The sequence below is a fragment of the Homo sapiens genome, chromosome 17, assembly GCF_000001405.40.
Source record: "Homo sapiens chromosome 17, GRCh38.p14 Primary Assembly".
In the NCBI taxonomy this organism is placed as follows: Eukaryota; Metazoa; Chordata; class Mammalia; order Primates; family Hominidae; genus Homo; species Homo sapiens.
The window spans coordinates 19053285-19074012 of NC_000017.11; the positions used below are offsets into that span (position 1 = coordinate 19053285).

The 20728-nt window shown below is 47.7% G+C and overlaps 2 non-coding genes across 2 annotated transcripts, besides 1 other annotated feature; one reads left to right on the plus strand and one right to left on the minus strand.

Annotated features, from left to right (window-relative positions):
• The first annotated feature begins 8627 nt into the window (after positions 1–8627).
• On the plus strand, positions 8628–8844 carry SNORD3B-1 (small nucleolar RNA, C/D box 3B-1). Its single transcript, NR_003271.1, has one exon. It is a non-coding gene; the product is annotated as a small nucleolar RNA, C/D box 3B-1 (small nucleolar RNA).
• Positions 10052–10646: a silencer, noted in NCBI's record as "fragment chr17:18966649-18967243 (GRCh37/hg19 assembly coordinates)". NCBI's record gives its function as "represses an EF-1alpha promoter that drives an FKBP-Casp9 reporter gene in an ReSE screen in K562 erythroleukemia cells {active_cell/tissue: K562}" and the evidence as "EXISTENCE:reporter gene assay evidence [ECO:0000049][PMID:32094911]".
• On the minus strand, positions 10636–10852 carry SNORD3B-2 (small nucleolar RNA, C/D box 3B-2). Its single transcript, NR_003924.1, has one exon. It is a non-coding gene; the product is annotated as a small nucleolar RNA, C/D box 3B-2 (small nucleolar RNA).
• Positions 10853–20728: the final 9876 nt, after the last annotated feature.

Genomic DNA, 20728 nt, shown 5'->3' on the forward strand with positions numbered 1-20728 from the left:
TGAAGCCTGCAAAAAATTTAATAAACAGGAAAGCATGACCCATAGATAGGGGGAAATGCAGGCAAAGGAAACTGCCTGTGAGAGGGCACATGTTGATTTATCAGAAAAAGACTTTAAAGTAGCCATTATACACACGTTCATAAAACCAAAGGAAACTGTGACTAAATAAATAAAGGAATGTATGATGATGGCGTTTCATCAAATAGAGAATACCGATAAAAAGATAGAAATTGCCAGGCACGGTGGTTCACGCCTGTAATCCCAGCACTTTGGGAGGCCGAGGCGGGTGGATCACGAGGTCAGGAGTTTGAGACCAGCCTGGCCAACATGGTGAAACCCTGTCTCTACTAAAGATTAAAAAAAAAAAAAATTAACTGGGTATGGTGGTGCATACCTATAATCCCAGCTACTCGGGAGGCTGAGACAGGAGAATCCCTTGAACCTGGGAGGTAGAGGTTGCGGTGAGCTGAGATTGCACCATTGCACTCCAACCTGGGTGACAGGGCAAGACTCCGAATTAAAAAAAAAAAAATCGAAAATTATAAAAAAAAAAAACAAATGGAAATTATGAAGTTGAAAAGTATAGTAACTAAAATAGCCGGGTGCAGTGGCTCACCCCTGTAATCCCAGCACTTTTGGAGGCCAGAGATGGTGAAACCCCATCTCTACTAAAAATACAAAATTAGCCAGGCATGGTGGCGGGCACCTGTAATCCCAGCTACTCGGGAGGCTGAGGCAGGAGAATCGCTTGAACCCGGGAGGCAGAGGTTACAGTGAGCCAAGATCACGCCACTGCACTCCAGCCTGGGCGACAAGAGTGAAACTCTGTCTCAAAAAAATAAAAAAAAAGAAAAGAAAGAAAAGAAAAGTATAGTAACTGAAATAAAACATTCATTAAAGGGATTCACCAGCTAATTTTGAAATTCATATGGAATTGCAAATGATCTACAACGGCCAAAAAAATCTTGATAAAGAAAAAAAAAAATGGCTGAGTGTGGCGGCTCGCGCCTGTAATCCCAGCACTTTGGAAAGCCCAGGCAGGAGAATCACTGGAGCCCAAGAAGTCAAGTCTGCAGTGAGCAGAGATCGCATCACTACACTCCAGGCTGGGCCACAGAGCAAGACCTTGTCTCAAAGAATAAAAACCAGAAACAACCAACAAACAAATAACAATAATTAAATAAAAATAAAAAACGCAGGGGTACGTTTTCATGCCTTGTATTTGTCAATGGAACCTTTGATATGATACTCAAAATACAAGCAATGAAATGATAAATTGTATTTTATCAAAATTAAAACTTTTGCTCATCAAAGGACACTTTCAAGAAAGTGAAAAGATAACCTACAGAATGGAAGAAAATATTTGTAAATAACAAATCTGGTGAAAGTTTCATATCCAGAATACACAAGAACTCATAGAATTCAATACTAGAACACAAACAACAATTTAAAACACAATTTAAAAATGGGCAAAGGATCCTAAAAGACTTTTCCTCAAATAAGGTATACAAATGGCTCACAGCTCCTGAAAGATGCTCAACCTCATTTGTCATTAGGGAAATGCAAGTCGAACCCACAATGACACACCCTTCACATCCCTAGGATGGCTATTAAGCCATGCCTGCTGTCTTGATGACCCCTGCCCCTGTCTGCCCCCCTGTCCTTGCTGGTGCCTGAGCTCCATTGGAGCGGACTCATTGCTGGCTCCCGGCACTACCAAGCTGGGACCTGGAATATCTTGGTGCCGCTAGAGTGAAAAGACTCATTAATCACGGTCAGTCAGATCCTTCCAGGGCTAAGAGACCAGCCAGGGTGGCCTCAGCTTCTCCCTAACTTTGGATCCTAAAAAGGAAGCCCTGGCTGGGCGTGGTGGCTCACGCCTGTAATCCCAGCACTTTGGGAGGCCGAGGCAGGAGGATCACCTGAGGTCAGGAGTTTGAGACCAGCCTGGCTAACATGATGAAATCCCATTTCTACTAAAAAAAAATACAAAAAATTAGCCAGGCATGGTGGCATGAACCTGTAATCTCAGCTACTTGGGAGGCTGAGGCGGGAGACTCACTTGAACCCGGGAGGCGGAGGTTGCGGTGAGCCGAGACTGTGCCACTGCACTCCAGCCTGGGCGACAGAGCAAGACTCCATCTCAAAAAAAAAAAAAAAAAGGAAGCCCTGAGTTCTACCCAGTTTGGCCCTTTGAGGGTGAGAGATCCCACTATTACCCAAGCCTGGCTGTTCTGGGTATGTAAGTTGGGGGACAGTGCGGATCACAGTTCAGGAACCACTCCCACAGCCCCAAGAGCCTCCCTAACCCCACCAAGTCCACCTTTGACCTCTTCTCTGAGCTCCAAATGCCTCTTGGGCGCCATCCCCTGGACGTTTCTCAGATGTATAACAGCCCAGATAAAACTCATCATTGCCGGGCGTGGTCGCTCACCCGGCACCCGTGACAAATAAAATGTTTTTTTAAAGTATCTATAGGCTGGGCATGGTGGCTCACGCCTGTAATCCCCGCACTTTGGGAGGCCAAGGTGGGCAGATCACGAGGTCAGGAGATCGAGACTATCCTGGCTAACATGGTAAAACCCCGTCTCTACTAAAAATACAAAAAGTTAGCCGGGCATGTTGGCACGCACCTGTGGTCCCAGCTACTTGGGAGGCTGAGGCAGGAGAATCGCTTGAACCCAGGAGGCGGAGGTTGCAGTGAACCGAGATCGTGCCACTGCACTCCAGCCTGGGCTACGTAGCAAGACTCCATCTAAAAAAACAAACAAAACACCACATTTTATTTGGGCCAGGCTTGGTGGCTCACGCCTGTAATCCCAGCACTTTGGGAGGCCAAGGCGGGCGGATCACCTGAGGTCGGGAGTTGGAGACCAGCCTCACCAACATGGAGAAACCCCATCTCTACTAAAAATACAAAATTAGCCAGGCATGGTGGCACATGCCTGTAATCCCAGCTACTCGGGAGGCTGAGGCAGGAGAATTGCTTGAACCCGGGAGGTGGAGGTTGCGGTGAGCTGAGATCATGCCATTACACTCCAGCCTGAGCAAGAAGAGTGAAACTCCGTCTCAAAAAATAAAAATATATATTTGTGGTTAGGCATGGTGACTCAGGCTTACACCTGTAATCCTAGAACTTTGGGAGGCCGAGGTAGGAGGATTGCTTGAGGCCAGGAGTTCAAGACTAGCCTGGGCAACATAGCAAGATCCCATCTCTACAGAAAAGTAAATTTTTAAAAATTATGACATTTTGAGCTGCATGATGAAAAAAATTTAAAAAGAAAGAAAGAAGGGCCGGGCGCGGTGGCTCACGCCTGTAATCCCAGCACTTTGGGAGGTCGAGGTGGGCGGATCATGAGGTCAGGAGATCAAGACCATCCTGGCTAACGCGGTGAAACCCCATCTCTACTAAAAATACAAAAAATTAGCTGGGCATGCTGGTGGGTGCCTGCAGTCCCAGCTACTCAGGAGGCTGAGGCAGGAGAATGGCGTGAACCATTCTCCATTCTCGGAGCTTGCAGTGAGCCGAGATTGTGCCATTGTACTCCAGCCTGGGCGACAGAGCAAGACTCCGTCACAAAAAAAAAAAAAAGAAAGAAAGAAAGAAAGAAAGAAAGAAAGAAAATTGGCCACGTGTGTTAGTGCACACCTGTAGTCCCAACTAGACAGGATGCTGAGGCGGGAGGATCTCCTGAGCCCAGGAGTTCAAGGCTGCAGTGAGCTGTGATCGTGCCACTGCTCTCCAGCCTAAGATACGGGAAAAACCAAAGCGTTTTTCTTTTCTTTTTTTTCTGCTGTCATTGTATGAAATAGTCCATAGGTTTCCATTATATCCAGTTATAGAGGGTGTTACTGAGTTACGGATTTTCTGCCTGCTGGATCTGTCCGTTTCTGATAGAGGGACATTGAAGTCGCCAACTATAATAGTTTCTCCTTGCGGTGCTGTCGCTTTTTCCCTCACATATTTTGATGTTCTCTTGTTAGGATCATACATGTTAAGGACTGTTATGTCTTCTTTGAGCATTGACTCCTTAATCATTATGTAATGCCCTGTCCTTATCCCGGATGACTCTCTTTTCTTTTCTTTTTGTTTTTCAGACAAGGTCTCTGCGAACCAGGCTGGAGTGCAGGGATCTCGGCTCAATGCAACCTCTGCCTCCCACGCTCAAGCGATTCCCGTGCCTCAGCCTGCAGAGTAGCTGGGATTACAGGCTGGGATTACCACCACGCCCTGCTAATTTCTGCATTTTTAGTAAAGACAGGGTTTCATCGTGTTGGCCAGGCTGGTCTCGAACTCCTGGCCTCAGGCGATCTGCCCGCCTTGGCCTCCCAAAGTGCTGGGATTACACGTGTGAGCCACTGTGCCTGGCCTATTCCTGATGACTCTCCTTGCTCTGAAGTCTGTACTGTCTGAAATTAATATAGAGACTCCTGCTTTCTTTTGATCAGTGTTGGCATAGATCTTTCTTTATCCATTCGCTTTTAATACATAAGTCTTTAAAGTGTAGTTCTTGTAAGCAACATATAGTTACGTCTTGTTTTTTGCTCACTCTGACAATCTCTGTCTTTTAATTGGTTCATCTGGACCACTGATATGCAAAGGGATGTTGATATAATTGGATTAATAGCTGCCTTTTTTTGTTTTTACTGTTTTCTATTTGTTGCCTTTGTTTCTATTTTTGTCTTCCACTCTTTTTCTGCCTCTTGTAGTGTTTTGCCTTTGGGGTTTTTCTTTTTTTTATTTTCTTTTACTTTCTTTTTTTTTTTTTGAGACAGAGTCTCCCAGGCTGGAGTGCAGTGACGCGATCTCAACTCACTGTACTCTCTGCCTCCCCGGTTCAAGCAATTCTCCTGTTTTAGCCTCCCAAGTAGCTGGGACTACAGACACGCACTGCCACGCCCGGCTAATTTTTGTATTTTTATTAGAAATGGGGTTTCACCATGTTGGCCAGGATGGTCTTGATCTTCTGACCTCGTGATCCACCTGTCTCAGCCTCCCAAAGTGCTGGGATTACAGGCATGAGTCACCACACCCAGTCTATTTTTTTTTAAGTTTTTTGGTTTTTGTGTTTTTTTTTGAGATGGTATCTCGCTCTTGTTGCCCAGGCTGGAGTGCAATGGCAAGATCTCTGCTCGCTGCAACCTCCGCCTCCTGGGTTCAAGTGATTCTCCTGCCTCAGCCTTCCGAATCGCTGGAATTACGGGAGCCCGACACCACGCCCAGATAATTTTTTGTATTTTTAGTAGAGATGGGGTTTCACCATGTTGGCCAGGCTGGTGACGAACTCCTGACCTCAGGTGATCCACCCGCCTCAGCCTTCCAAAGAGGTTAGATTACACGCATGAGCCACCACGCCCGACCCTAAAAGTATTTTTTTTATAGAGATGGGGTCTCCCTCTGTTGCCCAAACTGGTCTCAAACCCCTGATCTCAAGTTACTGCCTGCCTCAGCTGCCCAGGTAGCAGGGATTACAGACACAAGCCACCGCCCCCGGCTCTATTTAGGAACATCTTAGTTCCAAGTTTTGGCAATTATGGATAAAGCCGCTATAAACGTATGTTTCCAGGCTTGTGCGGACATACATTTTCAACTCATTTGGGTAGACACCAAGAGCTGCATTCCAGCCTGGGCAACAAGAGTGAAATTCCGTCTCAAAAAAAAAAAAAAACACAGAAATGTAGGCCGGGCATGGTGGCTTGCACCTATAATCCCAGAACTTTGGGAGGCCAAGGCAGGCAGATCACTTGAGCTCAGGAGTTCAAGACCAGTCTGGCCAACATGGTGAAACCCTGTCTCTACTAAAAATACAAAAATTAGCCAGGCGCGGTGGCGCATGCCTGTAATCCCAGCTACTCAGGAGGCTGAGGCATGAGAATGACTTGAACCCAGGAGGCAGAGGTTGCAGTGAGCCCAGATCGTGCCACTGCACTCCAGCCTGGGTGATGAAGTGAAACTCTGTCAAAACAGAAATTATTCTCTCGCAGTTCTGGAGGCTCAAAGTCAGGAATCAAACTGTTGAAGCCTCGAAGGGGGATCCTTCCTTGACTCCTCCGGCGTCTGGAGGCTACTGGCCATCCTGGTGTTACTCAAACACCAGGGGTTCCATCTAGGGCCTGCCACTCACCTCACAGAAAGCCAATCAGTGAGACAACGATTCTTGCCAAGGAAGAAGGCTTTAATCAGGTGCTGCAGCTGAGGGGATGGGAGGGCTTCATCCCAGGAATGCAGGGGGTGGTTCAACATAAGAAAATCCGTTAACGTAATGTACCGCATTAGTAGAACAAAGGGAAAAAAACAGTCATTCCAGCTGACACAGAAAAAGCATCTAAGAAATTCTAACATTTCATCATTAAAACATAGAGAAAACTATGAAACGAGGGGATCTGCCTCAACATTATAAAAGGTATTTGTGAAAAAACCACAGTTACCATCATACTTAGTGGTGAAAGACTAAAAGCTTTCCCCCTAAGTTCAGGAACAAGACACAGAGGTTCACCTTTACCACTGCTACTCAATGTTTTTTTTTTTTGTTTTGTTGGTTTTGTTGTGTTTTCGAGAAGGAGTCTTGCTCTGTCGCCCAGGCTGGAATGCAGTGGCGTGATCTCGGCTCACTGCAGCCTCTGCCCCCGGGGTTCAAGCAATTCTCCTGCCTCAGCCTCCCCAGTAGCTGGGACTACAGGTGCGCACTGCCACGCCTGGCTAATTTTTGTATTCTTAGTAGAGACAGGGTTTCACCATGTTGGCCAGGATGCTCTTGAGCTCCTGACCTTGTTATCTGCCTGCCTCGGCCTCCCAAAATGCTGGAATTACAGATGTGAGCCACCGCGCCTGGCCTAGTCAACATTTTGCTAGAAGTTGTAGCCAGAGCCTTTAGGTAAGAAAAGGCACCAAATTGAGAAATAAGAAATAAAACCATCGCTTTAAATAGGGAAAATCCCAAAGAATACACGCACAATAATTACTAGAGCTAATAAGCAAATGCAGCAAAGTTTCAGGACACAAGATCAACTCACAAAAACCAGTTGTGTGGTTTCCTGTTTGTTTTTTTGAGGAGTTATGCTCTTATCGCCCAGGCCGGAGTGCAATGGCGTGATCTTGGCTCACTGCAGCCTCTGCCTCCCGGGTTCAAGCAATTCTCCTGCCTCAGCCTCCCCAGTAGCTGGGATTACAGGCGCAGGCCACCACGCCCGGCCAGTTTTTGTATTTTTAGTAGAGACGAGGTTTCACCACGTTGGCCAGGATGGTCTTGATCTCCTGACCTGGTGATCCACCCGCCTCGGCCTCCCAAAGTGCTAGGATGACAGGCGTGAGCCACCGTGCCCGGTCCAGTTGTGTTTTTATGCACTGGCAAGGAACAATTCAAAAATGTAATTAAGAAAACCGCTGGGCATGGTGGCTCACGCCTGTAGTCCCAGCACTTTGAGCGGCCGAGGCGGGTGGATCCCTTGATCCCAGGAGTTCAAGACCATCCTGGGCAATGTGGTGAAACCCCCTCCCTACAAAAAATACAAAAAATTAGCGGAGCGTGATGGCATGTGCCTACGATCCCAGCTACTCAGGAGGCTGACGTGGGAGGATCACCCGAGCCCTGGGGGTCAAGGCTGCAGTGAGCTGTCACATCATGCATCATTGCACTCCAGCCTGAAAAAGGAGTGAAATTCTGCAACATGTTACAACGTGAATGAACCTTGAAAACGTCATTCTAAGTGAAATAAGCCAGATACAAAAGGACAATATTGCATGTTTCCACTTATAGAGATACCTACAAGAATCAAATTCATAGAGACGGAAAGTAGAATAGTGGTTAAAGGGGTCTGGGCGGAGGGAGGAAAGGGAAGTTTGTTTTACGGGTAGAGTTTCAGTTTGGGATGTCGAAAAAGTTCTGGAGATAAATAATGGTGATGGTTACATGCCAATGGCTACACGAATGTACTTAATGCCACTGAATTGTATATGTGAAAAATGGTTAAAATGGTAAATTTTGTATCTATTTAATACCATCCCCCCTAAAAAAAAAATTGTTTTTAAGAGTCAAGATCTCACTCTGTCTCCCAGGCTGGGGTGCAGTGGGGTAACTGATCAGAGCTCACTGCAGCTTTGAACTCAGCCAGCTTCCCTGACTCAAACGATCATCCCGCTTCAGCCTCCCGAGTAGCTGGGACTACAGACGGTGCCATCACGCCCAGCTCATTGTTGATTCCCGCCCCCTTGGTAGAGACGGGATTCCGCTATATTGCCTGGGCTGGTGTCGAACTCATAGAACAAAGGATCCTCCCTCCTGGGCCTGGGCGTGGGCTCGCAAAACGCTGGGATTCCCGGATTACAGGCGGGCGCACCACACCAGGAGCAAACACTTCCGGTTTTAAAAATTCAGTTTGTGATTGGCTGTCATTCAGTATTATGCTAATTAAGCATGCCCGGTTTTAAACCTCTTAAAACAATTTTTAAAATTACCTTTCCACCTAAAACGTTAAAATTTGTCAAGTGATAATATTCGACAAGCTGTTATTGCCAAACTATTTTCCTATTTGTTTCCTAATGGCATCGGAACTAGCGAAAGTTTCTCGCCATCAGTTAAAAGTTTGCGGCAGATGTAGACCTAGCAGAGGTGTGCGAGGAGGCCATTAAGACTATACTTTCAGGGATCATTTCTATAGTGTGTTACTAGAGAAGTTTCTCTGAACGTGTAGAGCACCGAAAACCCCGAGGAAGAGAGGTAGCGTTTTCTCCTGAGCGTGAAGCCGGCTTTCTGGCGTTGCTTGGCTGCAACTGCCGTCAGCCATTGATGATCGTTCTTCTCTCCGTATTGGGGAGTGAGAGGGAGAGAACGCGGTCTGAGTGGTTTTTCCTTCTTGATGGCTCAATGACAGAGACTAGCTCGTAAACTCCGGGCCGTTTCCGGGCTGTTCGCTCCTGCTTGGCAATGTCGCGAGAAAGGTTTTCGCCTCCTGTTTCAGCGGTGACGGCTTTTGGGTTTTCCTCGGGGTGGCTTTTTAATTTTAGTCTTGGCGCGAGGCGGGGGATGCTGTGTGGCACCTCCTATTGTCTCTTTTTGCGTTTTCTCCCATTCTCGCTCCCTCTTTTGTCGCCGTTTCCCGCCCGCCACTCCCACCCCCAGACGGGGTCTCCGGGTCTCTTGTTCTGTCTGCCGGCCCCGGCTGGAGTGCAGTGGCGCGATCTCGGCTCCTAGCAACATCTGCCTCCCGGGCTCAAGCGAGTCTCCCGCCTAAGCCCTCCCGAGTAGCCGGGGCTTAAAGGCGCACACGCCACTCCAGGCTTTTTTTTTTTTTTTTTTTTTTTTTTTTGGCAGAAACGGGGTGTCAGCATGTTAGCCAGGCTGGTCTCCAACGCGTGATCTCAGGTGATCCGCCCGCCTCGGCCTCCCGAAGTTCTGGGATTACAGGCGTGAGCCACTGCACCCGGCCCTTCTATTTTTTTAAATAGCGACGGGGTTTCACCATGTTGGCCAGGCTGCTCCTGAACACCTGAGTTCAGGTGATCCGCCCGCCTCGGCCTCCCGAAGTTCTGGGATTACAGGAGTGAGCCACCGCGCCCGACTGAGAACTGTAAGAAATAAATTTGTGTTATTTAAGCCACAAAGTCTGTGTATTTTGTTATGGAGCCCAAGAAAAGCAGCTTCTTCTGAAACTAAACACTTTCGGTATGATCAGAACTCGTGCCTCTTGGTGTCTACCCAAATGAGTTGAAAATGTCCACACAAAAACCTGCACACCTGTTTATAGCAGCTTTATCCATAATTGCCAAAACTTGGAACTAAGATGTTCCTGAATAGAGCCAGCGGCTGTGGCTTGTGTCTGTAATCCCTGCTACTTGGGCAGCTGAGGCAGACAGTCAGTCACTTGAGATAAGCAGTTTGAGACCAGTCTGGGCAACAGAGTGAGACCCCATCTCTATAAAAAGTACTTTTAGGGCCGGGTGCGGGTGGCACGCCTGTAATCGCAGAACTTCGGGAGGCCGAGGCGGGCGGATCACCTGAACTCAGGTGTTCAGGAGCAGCCTGGCCAACATGGTGAAACCCCGTCGCTATTTAAAAAAATAGAAGGGCCGGGTGCAGTGGCTCACGCCTGTAATCCCAGAACTTCGGGAGGCCGAGGCCGGCGGATCACCTGAGATCACGCGTTGGAGACCAGCCTGGCTAACATGCTGACACCCCGTTTCTGCCAAAAAAAAAAAAAAAAAAAGCCTGGAGTGGCGTGTGCGCCTTTAAGCCCCGGCTACTCGGGAGGGCTTAGGCGGGAGACTCGCTTGAGCCCGGGAGGCAGATGTTGCTAGGAGCCGAGATCGCGCCACTGCACTCCAGCCGGGGCGGCAGACAGAACAAGAGACCCGGAGACCCCGTCTGGGGGTGGGAGTGGCGGGCGGGAAACGGCGACAAAAGAGGGAGCGAGAATGGGAGAAAACGCAAAAAGAGACAATAGGAGGTGCCACACAGCATCCCCCGCCTCGCGCCAAGACTAAAATTAAAAAGCCACCCCGAGAAAACCCAAGAGCCGTCACCGCTGAAACAGGAGGCGAAAACCTTTCTCGCTACACTGCCAAGCAGGAGCGAACAGCCCAGAAACGCCCCGGAGTTTACGAGCTAGTCTCTGTCATTGAGCCATCAAGAAGGAAAAACCACTCAGACCGCGTTCTCTCCCTCTCACTCCCCAATACGGAGAGAAGAACGATCATCAATGGCTGACGGCAGTTGCAGCCAAGCAACGCCAGAAAGCCGGCTTCACGCTCAGGAGAAAACGCTACCTCTCTTCCTCGGGGTTTTCGGTGCTCTACACGTTCAGAGAAACTTCTCTAGTAACACACTATAGAAATGATCCCTGAAAGTATAGTCTTAATGGCCTCCTCGCACACCTCTGCTAGGTCTACATCTGCCGCAAACTTTTAACTGATGGCGAGAAACTTTCGCTAGTTCCGATGCCATTAGGAAACAAATAGGAAAATAGTTTGGCAATAACAGCTTGTCGAATATTATCACTTGACAAATTTTAACGTTTTAGGTGGAAAGGTAATTTTAAAAATTGTTTTAAGAGGTTTAAAACCGGGCATGCTTAATTAGCATAATACTGAATGACAGCCAATCACAAACTGAATTTTTAAAACCGGAAGTGTTTGCTCCTGGTGTGGTGCGCCCGCCTGTAATCCGGGAATCCCAGCGTTTTGCGAGCCCACGCCCAGGCCCAGGAGGGAGGATCCTTTGTTCTATGAGTTCGACACCAGCCCAGGCAATATAGCGGAATCCCGTCTCTACCAAGGGGGGGGGGGCGGGGGGGCGGGAATCAACAATGAGTTGGGCGTGATGGCACCGTCTGTAGTCCCAGCTACTCGGGAGGCTGAAGCGGGATGATCGTTTGAGTCAGGGAAGCTGGCTGAGTTCAAAGCTGCAGTGAGCTCTGATCAGTTACCCCACTGCACCCCAGCCTGGGAGACAGAGTGAGATCTTGACTCTTAAAAACAATTTTTTTTTTAGGGGGGATGGTATTAAATAGATACAAAATTTACCATTTTAACCATTTTTCACATATACAATTCAGTGGCATTAAGTACATTCGTGTAGCCATTGGCATGTAACCATCACCATTATTTATCTCCAGAACTTTTTCGACATCCCAAACTGAAACTCTACCCGTAAAACAAACTTCCCTTTCCTCCCTCCGCCCAGACCCCTTTAACCACTATTCTACTTTCCGTCTCTATGAATTTGATTCTTGTAGGTATCTCTATAAGTGGAAACATGCAATATTGTCCTTTTGTATCTGGCTTATTTCACTTAGAATGACGTTTTCAAGGTTCATTCACGTTGTAACATGTTGCAGAATTTCACTCCTTTTTCAGGCTGGAGTGCAATGATGCATGATGTGACAGCTCACTGCAGCCTTGACCCCCAGGGCTCGGGTGATCCTCCCACGTCAGCCTCCTGAGTAGCTGGGATCGTAGGCACATGCCATCACGCTCCGCTAATTTTTTGTATTTTTTGTAGGGAGGGGGTTTCACCACATTGCCCAGGATGGTCTTGAACTCCTGGGATCAAGGGATCCACCCGCCTCGGCCGCTCAAAGTGCTGGGACTACAGGCGTGAGCCACCACGCCCAGCGGTTTTCTTAATTACATTTTTGAATTGTTCCTTGCCAGTGCATAAAAACACAACTGGACCGGGCACGGTGGCTCACGCCTGTCATCCTAGCACTTTGGGAGGCCGAGGCGGGTGGATCACCAGGTCAGGAGATCAAGACCATCCTGGCCAACGTGGTGAAACCTCGTCTCTACTAAAAATACAAAAACTGGCCGGGCGTGGTGGCCTGCGCCTGTAATCCCAGCTACTGGGGAGGCTGAGGCAGGAGAATTGCTTGAACCCGGGAGGCAGAGGCTGCAGTGAGCCAAGATCACGCCATTGCACTCCGGCCTGGGCGATAAGAGCATAACTCCTCAAAAAAACAAACAGGAAACCACACAACTGGTTTTTGTGAGTTGATCTTGTGTCCTGAAACTTTGCTGCATTTGCTTATTAGCTCTAGTAATTATTGTGCGTGTATTCTTTGGGATTTTCCCTATTTAAAGCGATGGTTTTATTTCTTATTTCTCAATTTGGTGCCTTTTCTTACCTAAAGGCTCTGGCTACAACTTCTAGCAAAATGTTGACTAGGCCAGGCGCGGTGGCTCACATCTGTAATTCCAGCATTTTGGGAGGCCGAGGCAGGCAGATAACAAGGTCAGGAGCTCAAGAGCATCCTGGCCAACATGGTGAAACCCTGTCTCTACTAAGAATACAAAAATTAGCCAGGCGTGGCAGTGCGCACCTGTAGTCCCAGCTACTGGGGAGGCTGAGGCAGGAGAATTGCTTGAACCCCGGGGGCAGAGGCTGCAGTGAGCCGAGATCACGCCACTGCATTCCAGCCTGGGCGACAGAGCAAGACTCCTTCTCGAAAACACAACAAAACCAACAAAACAAAAAAAAAAAACATTGAGTAGCAGTGGTAAAGGTGAACCTCTGTGTCTTGTTCCTGAACTTAGGGGGAAAGCTTTTAGTCTTTCACCACTAAGTATGATGGTAACTGTGGTTTTTTCACAAATACCTTTTATAATGTTGAGGCAGATCCCCTCGTTTCATAGTTTTCTCTATGTTTTAATGATGAAATGTTAGAATTTCTTAGATGCTTTTTCTGTGTCAGCTGGAATGACTGTTTTTTTCCCTTTGTTCTACTAATGCGGTACATTACGTTAACGGATTTTCTTATGTTGAACCACCCCCTGCATTCCTGGGATGAAGCCCTCCCATCCCCTCAGCTGCAGCACCTGATTAAAGCCTTCTTCCTTGGCAAGAATCGTTGTCTCACTGATTGGCTTTCTGTGAGGTGAGTGGCAGGCCCTAGATGGAACCCCTGGTGTTTGAGTAACACCAGGATGGCCAGTAGCCTCCAGACGCCGGAGGAGTCAAGGAAGGATCCCCCTTCGAGGCTTCAACAGTTTGATTCCTGACTTTGAGCCTCCAGAACTGCGAGAGAATAATTTCTGTTTTGACAGAGTTTCACTTCATCACCCAGGCTGGAGTGCAGTGGCACGATCTGGGCTCACTGCAACCTCTGCCTCCTGGGTTCAAGTCATTCTCATGCCTCAGCCTCCTGAGTAGCTGGGATTACAGGCATGCGCCACCGCGCCTGGCTAATTTTTGTATTTTTAGTAGAGACAGGGTTTCACCATGTTGGCCAGACTGGTCTTGAACTCCTGAGCTCAAGTGATCTGCCTGCCTTGGCCTCCCAAAGTTCTGGGATTATAGGTGCAAGCCGCCATGCCCGGCCTACATTTCTGTTTTGTTTTTTTTTTTTTTTTTTTTTTTTTGAGACGGAGTTTCGCTCTTGTTGCCCAGGCTGGAATGCAGCTCTTGGTGTCTACCCAAATGATTTGAAAACGTATGTCCGCACAAGCCTGCACACATATGTTTATAGCAGCTTTACCCATAATTGCCAAAACTTGGAACTAAGATGTTCCTAAATAGAGCCGGGGGCGGTGGCTTGTGACTGTAATCCCTGCTACTTGGGCAGCTGAGGCAGACAGTCACTTGAGATCAGGGGTTTAGGAGCTGCCTGGGCAACAGAGGGAGACCCCTGTCTCTAATAAAATAAAATAAAATAAAATAAAATAAAATAAAAAATATGTCTTCACTTTGAGAGGCCAAGGCAGGTGGATCTCCTGAGATCAGGAGCTCAAGACCAGCCTGGCCAACATGGCAAAACCCCATCTCTACTAAAAATACAAAAATTACACTGGGCGCAGTGGCTCCCGCCTGCAATCCCAGCACTTTGGGAGGCTGAGGCGGGCAGATCACGAGGTCAGGAGATCGAGATCATCCCGGCTAACATGGTGAAACGCCGTCTCTACTAAAAAAAAAAAAAAAAAAAAAAAAATACAAAAAATAAGCCGTGCGTGGTGGCGGGTGCCTGTAGTCCCAGCTACTCAGGAGGCTGAGGCAGGAGAATGGTGTGAACCCGGGAGGCAGAGCTTGCAGTGAGCCGAGATCGCGCCACTGCACTCCAGCCTGGGCGACAGAGCGAAACTCCATCTCAAAAAAAAAAAAAAAGAAAGAAAACAACAACAACAACAACAACAAAAATTAGCTGGGTGTGGTGGCACACGCCTGTAATCACAGCTACTCAGGAGGCTGAGGTAGGAGAATCGCTTGAACCTGGGAGGCAGAGGTTGCAGTGAGCTGAGGTCACCCTACTGCACTGCAGCCTGGGAGACAGAGTGAGACTCCACCTCAAAAAAAAAAAAAAAAAAGTCCTACATAGGTGAATGGATAAATAAACTGTGGTACATCCAGAGAATTAGATATTATTCAGTGCTAAAAACAAATGAGCTATCAAGCCATGAAAAAACATTCAAGAACCTTAAACGCATATTACTAAGAAAAAGAAGCCAATGTGAAAAGGCCATATACTGTACGATTCCATACACATGACCTTCTGGAAAAGCAAAACTATGGAGACAGTAAAAGGCTCAGTGGTTAGCAGGGGTTGGGGGAGGGAGGGATGGACAGGCAGAGCACAGGGGACTTTCAGGGCCACAAAACTACTCTGTATGACATGACAATGGTGGATACGGCATTACACATTTGTCCAAACCCACAGAATGTACAACACCAGGAATGAGCTGTAATGTGAGCTATGGACCTTATTTAATAATTCCATATGCATATTGGTACATCAGTTGTAACAGAAGTATCACGCTATAATGCAAAATGTTACTAACGGGGAAATGAGTGTAGGGGTCTGAGAGAGAGGATGTATGGGGATTCTGTTCTTTGTGCTCAATTCTTCTGTAAACCTATAACCGCTCCTCCCAGAAAAGTCTACTAATTAATTCTTTTTTTTTTTTTTTTTAAAGACGGAGTCTTGCTCTGTGTCCCAGCTGGAGTGCAGTGGTGCGATCTTGTCTCACTGAATCAAGAGATTCTCCTGCCTCAGCCTCCCAAGTAGCTGGGATTACAGACATGCATCACCATGCCTGGCTAATTTTTGTATTTTTAGTAGAGATGGGGTTTCACCGTGTTGGCCAGGTTAGTCTTGAACTCCTGATTTCAGGTGATCTGTCCACCTCGGCCTCCCAAAGTGCTGGGATTACAGGCATGAGCCACTGTGCCTGCCCTCTACTAATTAATTTTTTAAAACACTTAAAACACACAGGCATACGTACATAATGACAAGTCACTGGCTGTTCACACACAAACAGAATAGCATGGGTTATGATCCCAGTCTTAAAAAATCTTACCTGTCAGCTGGACGTGGTGGTTCACGCCTATAATCCCAGCACTTTGGGAGGCCAAGTTAGGAGGATCTCTTGTGCTCAGTAGTTCAAGACCAGCTTGGGCAACAGGGTGAAACCCCGTCTCTACAAAAAATACAAAACAATTAGCCAGGCATGGTGGCACGCATCTGTAGTCCCAGCTACTTGGGAGGCTGAGGCGGGAAAATGGCTTGAGCCCAGGAGGTGGAGGTTGCAGTGAGCCAAGATCATACCACTGCCCCCCAGCCTGGATAACAAAGCCAGACCCTGTCTCAAGAAAACAAAAAACTTGCCTGTCCATCCATTCATTCATCTTATATAGATAGATTGAGGCTGTGTGGAGAGAATTCTATGATGATGTTCATGAAATATAAAACCCCACAGATGGGGGAGATTTATTGCTTTTTTTCTGTATACTTTCTAAGTGGCTTGGATTTTTTCTGTTGAGCATGTTTATAAAACAAGTACTTAAAATTTTTTTTTAATTTAATGAAGTAGTGTGACATTTCTTGCACCTTTGAGTTTGTGAGCAAATATTCATAAATTTATATTTGGATGTATGAGTTTGTTGTGAGAAAAAGACCACAAATTCACGTATGAAAACCCAAAAACCCAATGTGGTTATTGATGAGGGGTAGGATAATAGATTGTTTGTTTGTTTGTTTGTTTGTTTATCTTTTCAGAGATAAGAGTCTTGCTCTGTCATCCAGGCTGGAGTGCAGTGGCATGATCACTGCTCACTGCAGCCTCAAACTCCTGGGCTCAAGTCAACCTCCCACCTCAGCCTCCCAAGTAGCTGAGACCAGAGGTGCTCGCCACCATACCTGACTTATTTATTTATTTACTTATTTATTTATTGTAGAGACAGGATTTCATTGTGTTGCCCAGGCTGGTCTTGATCTCCTGGCTTCAAGTAATCCCTTCCACTTCAGCATCCCGAAGTGCTGGAATTACAGGTGTGAGCCACCATGTCTGGCCCCTGGATTTTTTTTTAAGTGCATTTTATCATATTCTTTTTCCTCTTCCCCCTCCTCTTCCACTCCCCCTCCTCCTTTTCCTTCTATTTCATTTTCTAATCATGTCATTCCCTTGCTCACTGCTTTCAGTACCAGACACTAGGGAAATAAAAATTCCTTAAATTGTATGACTTATTAAAAGGTCCCAGCCCCTGTGGGAGGTCCACAGTTCCCCAAGCAAACGGGAAAAACAGGTTCACAAACTAGGTACCTTATATTCACATTATTTAAAGCTTACAGTAACCCATTTTACTGGTGGCAGGATTAAGAGCCTTAACCTAGGAATGGAGGAGCCCAGGTTCGAACCCACATGTGGGGCGCTGGGAGTGTGGTTCCTCCCAGGGCTGCCGGGTTTCTTAGCCGCATCTCAAGGCAGCCCCCAGCGGGCCGCGCCCCATCCTATGGCCGCCTCTGCCCTCTTGCGGCGGCTTCTGGAACTACAGGTCGCCTTCCGGTCCCGGAAGTGAATGAGGGGTCCCCCGGGGGCTGTGCTAAGGACGGCCTGTGGCAGGGCCACTCCACACCCCTCAGCGTCCGGGCCACACAGACACAGAACGCAAGAGAGAGACTGACCCACCCACGCACCGGTCCCCATAGACGCAGAGACCGAGGCAGAAATGACGGGATTGCCGCAGACCGGCCAGGAGCAGGGACAGACAGCGGCTCCGCAGACTCTGGTGGGACTGGGCTGAGGCCACTCTCGTGTTCTCACCACACCCTCTCTCAACTATAACTACCTAATAAAACTTAAAATTGTTCTATAAAGAGATGGGGGGGGGGGCGTGTTTGTTTGTTTGTTTGTTGAGATAGGGTCTTGCTCTGTCCCCAGGCTGGAGTGCAGTGCCGCAATCTCGGCTCATTGCAACCTCCCCCTCCTGGGCTCAAGCAATCCTCCCACCTCAGCCTCCCAAGTAGCTGGGACTACAGGCTTGTGCCACCACTCCCAGCTAATTGATGTATTTTTTGCAGAGACGAGGTCTTGCTATGTTGCGGAGGCTGGTCTTAAACTTTTGGGCTCAAGCCATCCTCCTGCCTCAGCCTCCCAAAATTCCTGGGATTACAGGCGTGAGCCACCACACCTGGTCAATACATGTACTCAAAGGGGGACTTTATCTATTGCTACTCTTAAATGGAAAATTTGTGTCACTTTCATAGGCAATAACAATGAAAGTGAATAGGATAAAAACAAAACAATGTTATTAAATGGTGTTGGATGCTTCCCCACAGAGGCTGTGTAGGATGAGTGCTCTGTTCAAAAACGAGTTTTAGCAAAGTGTGAGGACAGTTTTGCAAACATGTTTCATATTCCAACTCAGTAGACACAATTTTTCACAAAGTAACATTCTTCCTTTTCTGATATTTTCTATCGTATGTTATTCCATCTATTTCGTTTTATTTTTTAAAGCACTCAAAGGTGGGTAGAGGCAAGAAGTATAAAAACAGGTGGGGGTCGAGGCTGAGTGGCGGTAGTGAGGGCTCATACCTTCCACTTTTGTGCATGTTCAGATTTAATTTGCAAATTAAAAAGAAGTCGTGTATTTTGTTTTTTGTTTTTTTTTTTTTTTTTTTTTGAGACGGAGTTTCGCTCTGTCGCTCAGGCTGGAGTGCAGTGGCGCGATCTTGGGTCACTGCAAGCTCCGCCTCCCGGGTTCACGCCATTCTCCTGCCTCAGCCTCCCGAATAGCTGGGACTACAGGCGCCCACGACCACGCCCCACTAATTTTTTGTGTTTTTAGTAGCGACGGGGTTTCACCGTGTTAGCCAGGATGGTCTTGATCTCCTGACCTCGTGATCCGCCCGCCTCGGCCTCCCAAAGTGCTGGGATTACAGGCGTGAGCCACCGCACCCGGCCTTAAAAAGAAGTTTTAAAAAAACTAATTTGGATTCAGTATACTAACTTTATAGCTCACTAAGCAGTCACACCCCATAATTGGAAAAACTGTGTGCAAAATACGTAAAGCCCTAACACTGTGCAGAGATTTTACCTGGGCATAATCAGCAGACTGAAAGTGAATGAAGAAGGAAATTGCCTTCCCACTGTAGTTGATTGTCTACTGAGGCGGCCACCAAGAACTTCTCCCTGCCCTGTGCCCTCCGCCACCCCCACATCCAAAGGTGAAGCCTATTTCCCCTCCCCTTGCATCTGGCCTGGCCTTGTGGCTGTTTTCACCCCTAGAATGCACCCCCACTAGAATGCACCAGAAGCGATGTTCTGGGACTTCCAAGTTAAGACCTCAAGAGGACTAGCAGCTTCTGATTGTTATCATTTGGGATGCTCCTTCTGGAAATGAGCCACCACGTTGTGAGGAAGCCCAAGAAGCAACACAGAAAGACCCATGCGGAGAACTGAGGCCCTGGGCTAACAGCTCCAGCTAAGCTTCTAGCTGGCAGCCAGCAGCAACTGCCAGCCACATACTTCCTATCCATGCCTATGGCATCACATCACGAAAACACAGGATGACCGGGCGCAGTGGCTCACGCCTGTAATCCCAGCACTTTGGGAGGCCGAGGTGGGCGGATCACGAGGTCAGGAGATCGAGACCATCCTGGCTAACACGGTGAAACCCCATCTCTACTAAAAATACAAAAAATTAGCCGGGCGTGGTGGCGGGCGCCTGTAGTCCCAGCTACTCGGGAGGCTGAAGCAGAAAAATGGTGTGAACCCGGGAGGTAGAGCTTTCAGTGAACTGAGATCGCGCCACTGCACTCCAGCCTGGGCGACACAGCGAGACTCTGTCTCAAAACAAACAAAGAAACAAAAACAGGATTCCCAGTTAAAATTGAGTTTTGAAAAAATAGTGAAAAATTATTATCACTATTATTTTTATTTTTATTTTTTTGAGACGGAGTCTGGCTCTGTCACCCTGGCTGGAGTGCAGTGGCACGATCTTGGCTCACTGCTACCTCCGCCTCCCGGGCTCAAGCAAGTCTCCTGCCTGAGCCTCCCAAGTAGCTGGGACTACAGGCAAGCGCCACCACTCCTGGCTAATTTTTATACTTTTAGTAGAGACGGGGTTTCACCATATTGGCCAGGCTGGTCTCGAACCCCTGACCTTGTGATCTGCCCATCTCAGCCTCCCAAAGTGCTAGGATAACAGGCGTGAGCCACTGTGCCTGGCCTGACAAATTATTTAGTGTAAGTATGCCCCAAATAACGTGGGACATTCTCATACCAAAAAAAAAAAAAAAAAAAAATTCATTCATTGTTTTCTAATTTAACTGGGAGTCCTGTATTTTTATTTGATATATTCAACAACCCTGCGGACTTTCTCTGGCTTCAAGAGAATGCTCAGCCCGGGCGAAGGGCAAAAGAACAGTGAGGACAAGTGCCACCCTCTCCAGCCCTTGTTGGGACACTTCCGAGCTGTGCTCGCCCAAGAGCACTGAGCCTCTGCTGCCTGCAGCAGTGACCTGCTCCTTCTTGGCTTTCACCCCTTGATCTCACTTCTCCACATGCCTGCTGGTGCCTCCTAGGGTTACCTCCCAAAGAAACTCCCAGTACCGAAATTCTTGTCTCAGGGTCTTTTTTTTGAGACGGAGTCTCGTCCTGTCGCCCAGGCTGGAGTGTAGTGGTGCAATCTTGACTCACTGCAACCTCCACCCCCTGGGTTCAAGCAATTCTCCTGCCTCAGCCTCCCGAGTAGTTGGGACTACAGGCGTGTGCCACCACGCCTGGCTAATTTTTTGTATTTTTTAGTAGAAATAGGTTTTCACTATGTTGGCCAGGACGGTCTGGATCTCCTGACCTCATGATCCATCCGCTTCGGCCTTCCAAAGTACTGGGATTACAGGCGTGAGCCACCGCGCCCGGCCTATTTGAGAACTCAAACCAAGACAGGAAGAGCCGGGTAAACGCTAAGTTTAATGATGGCCGTTATTCCAGTTATTCACTCGCATTGCCTCTTACTGTAGAGGA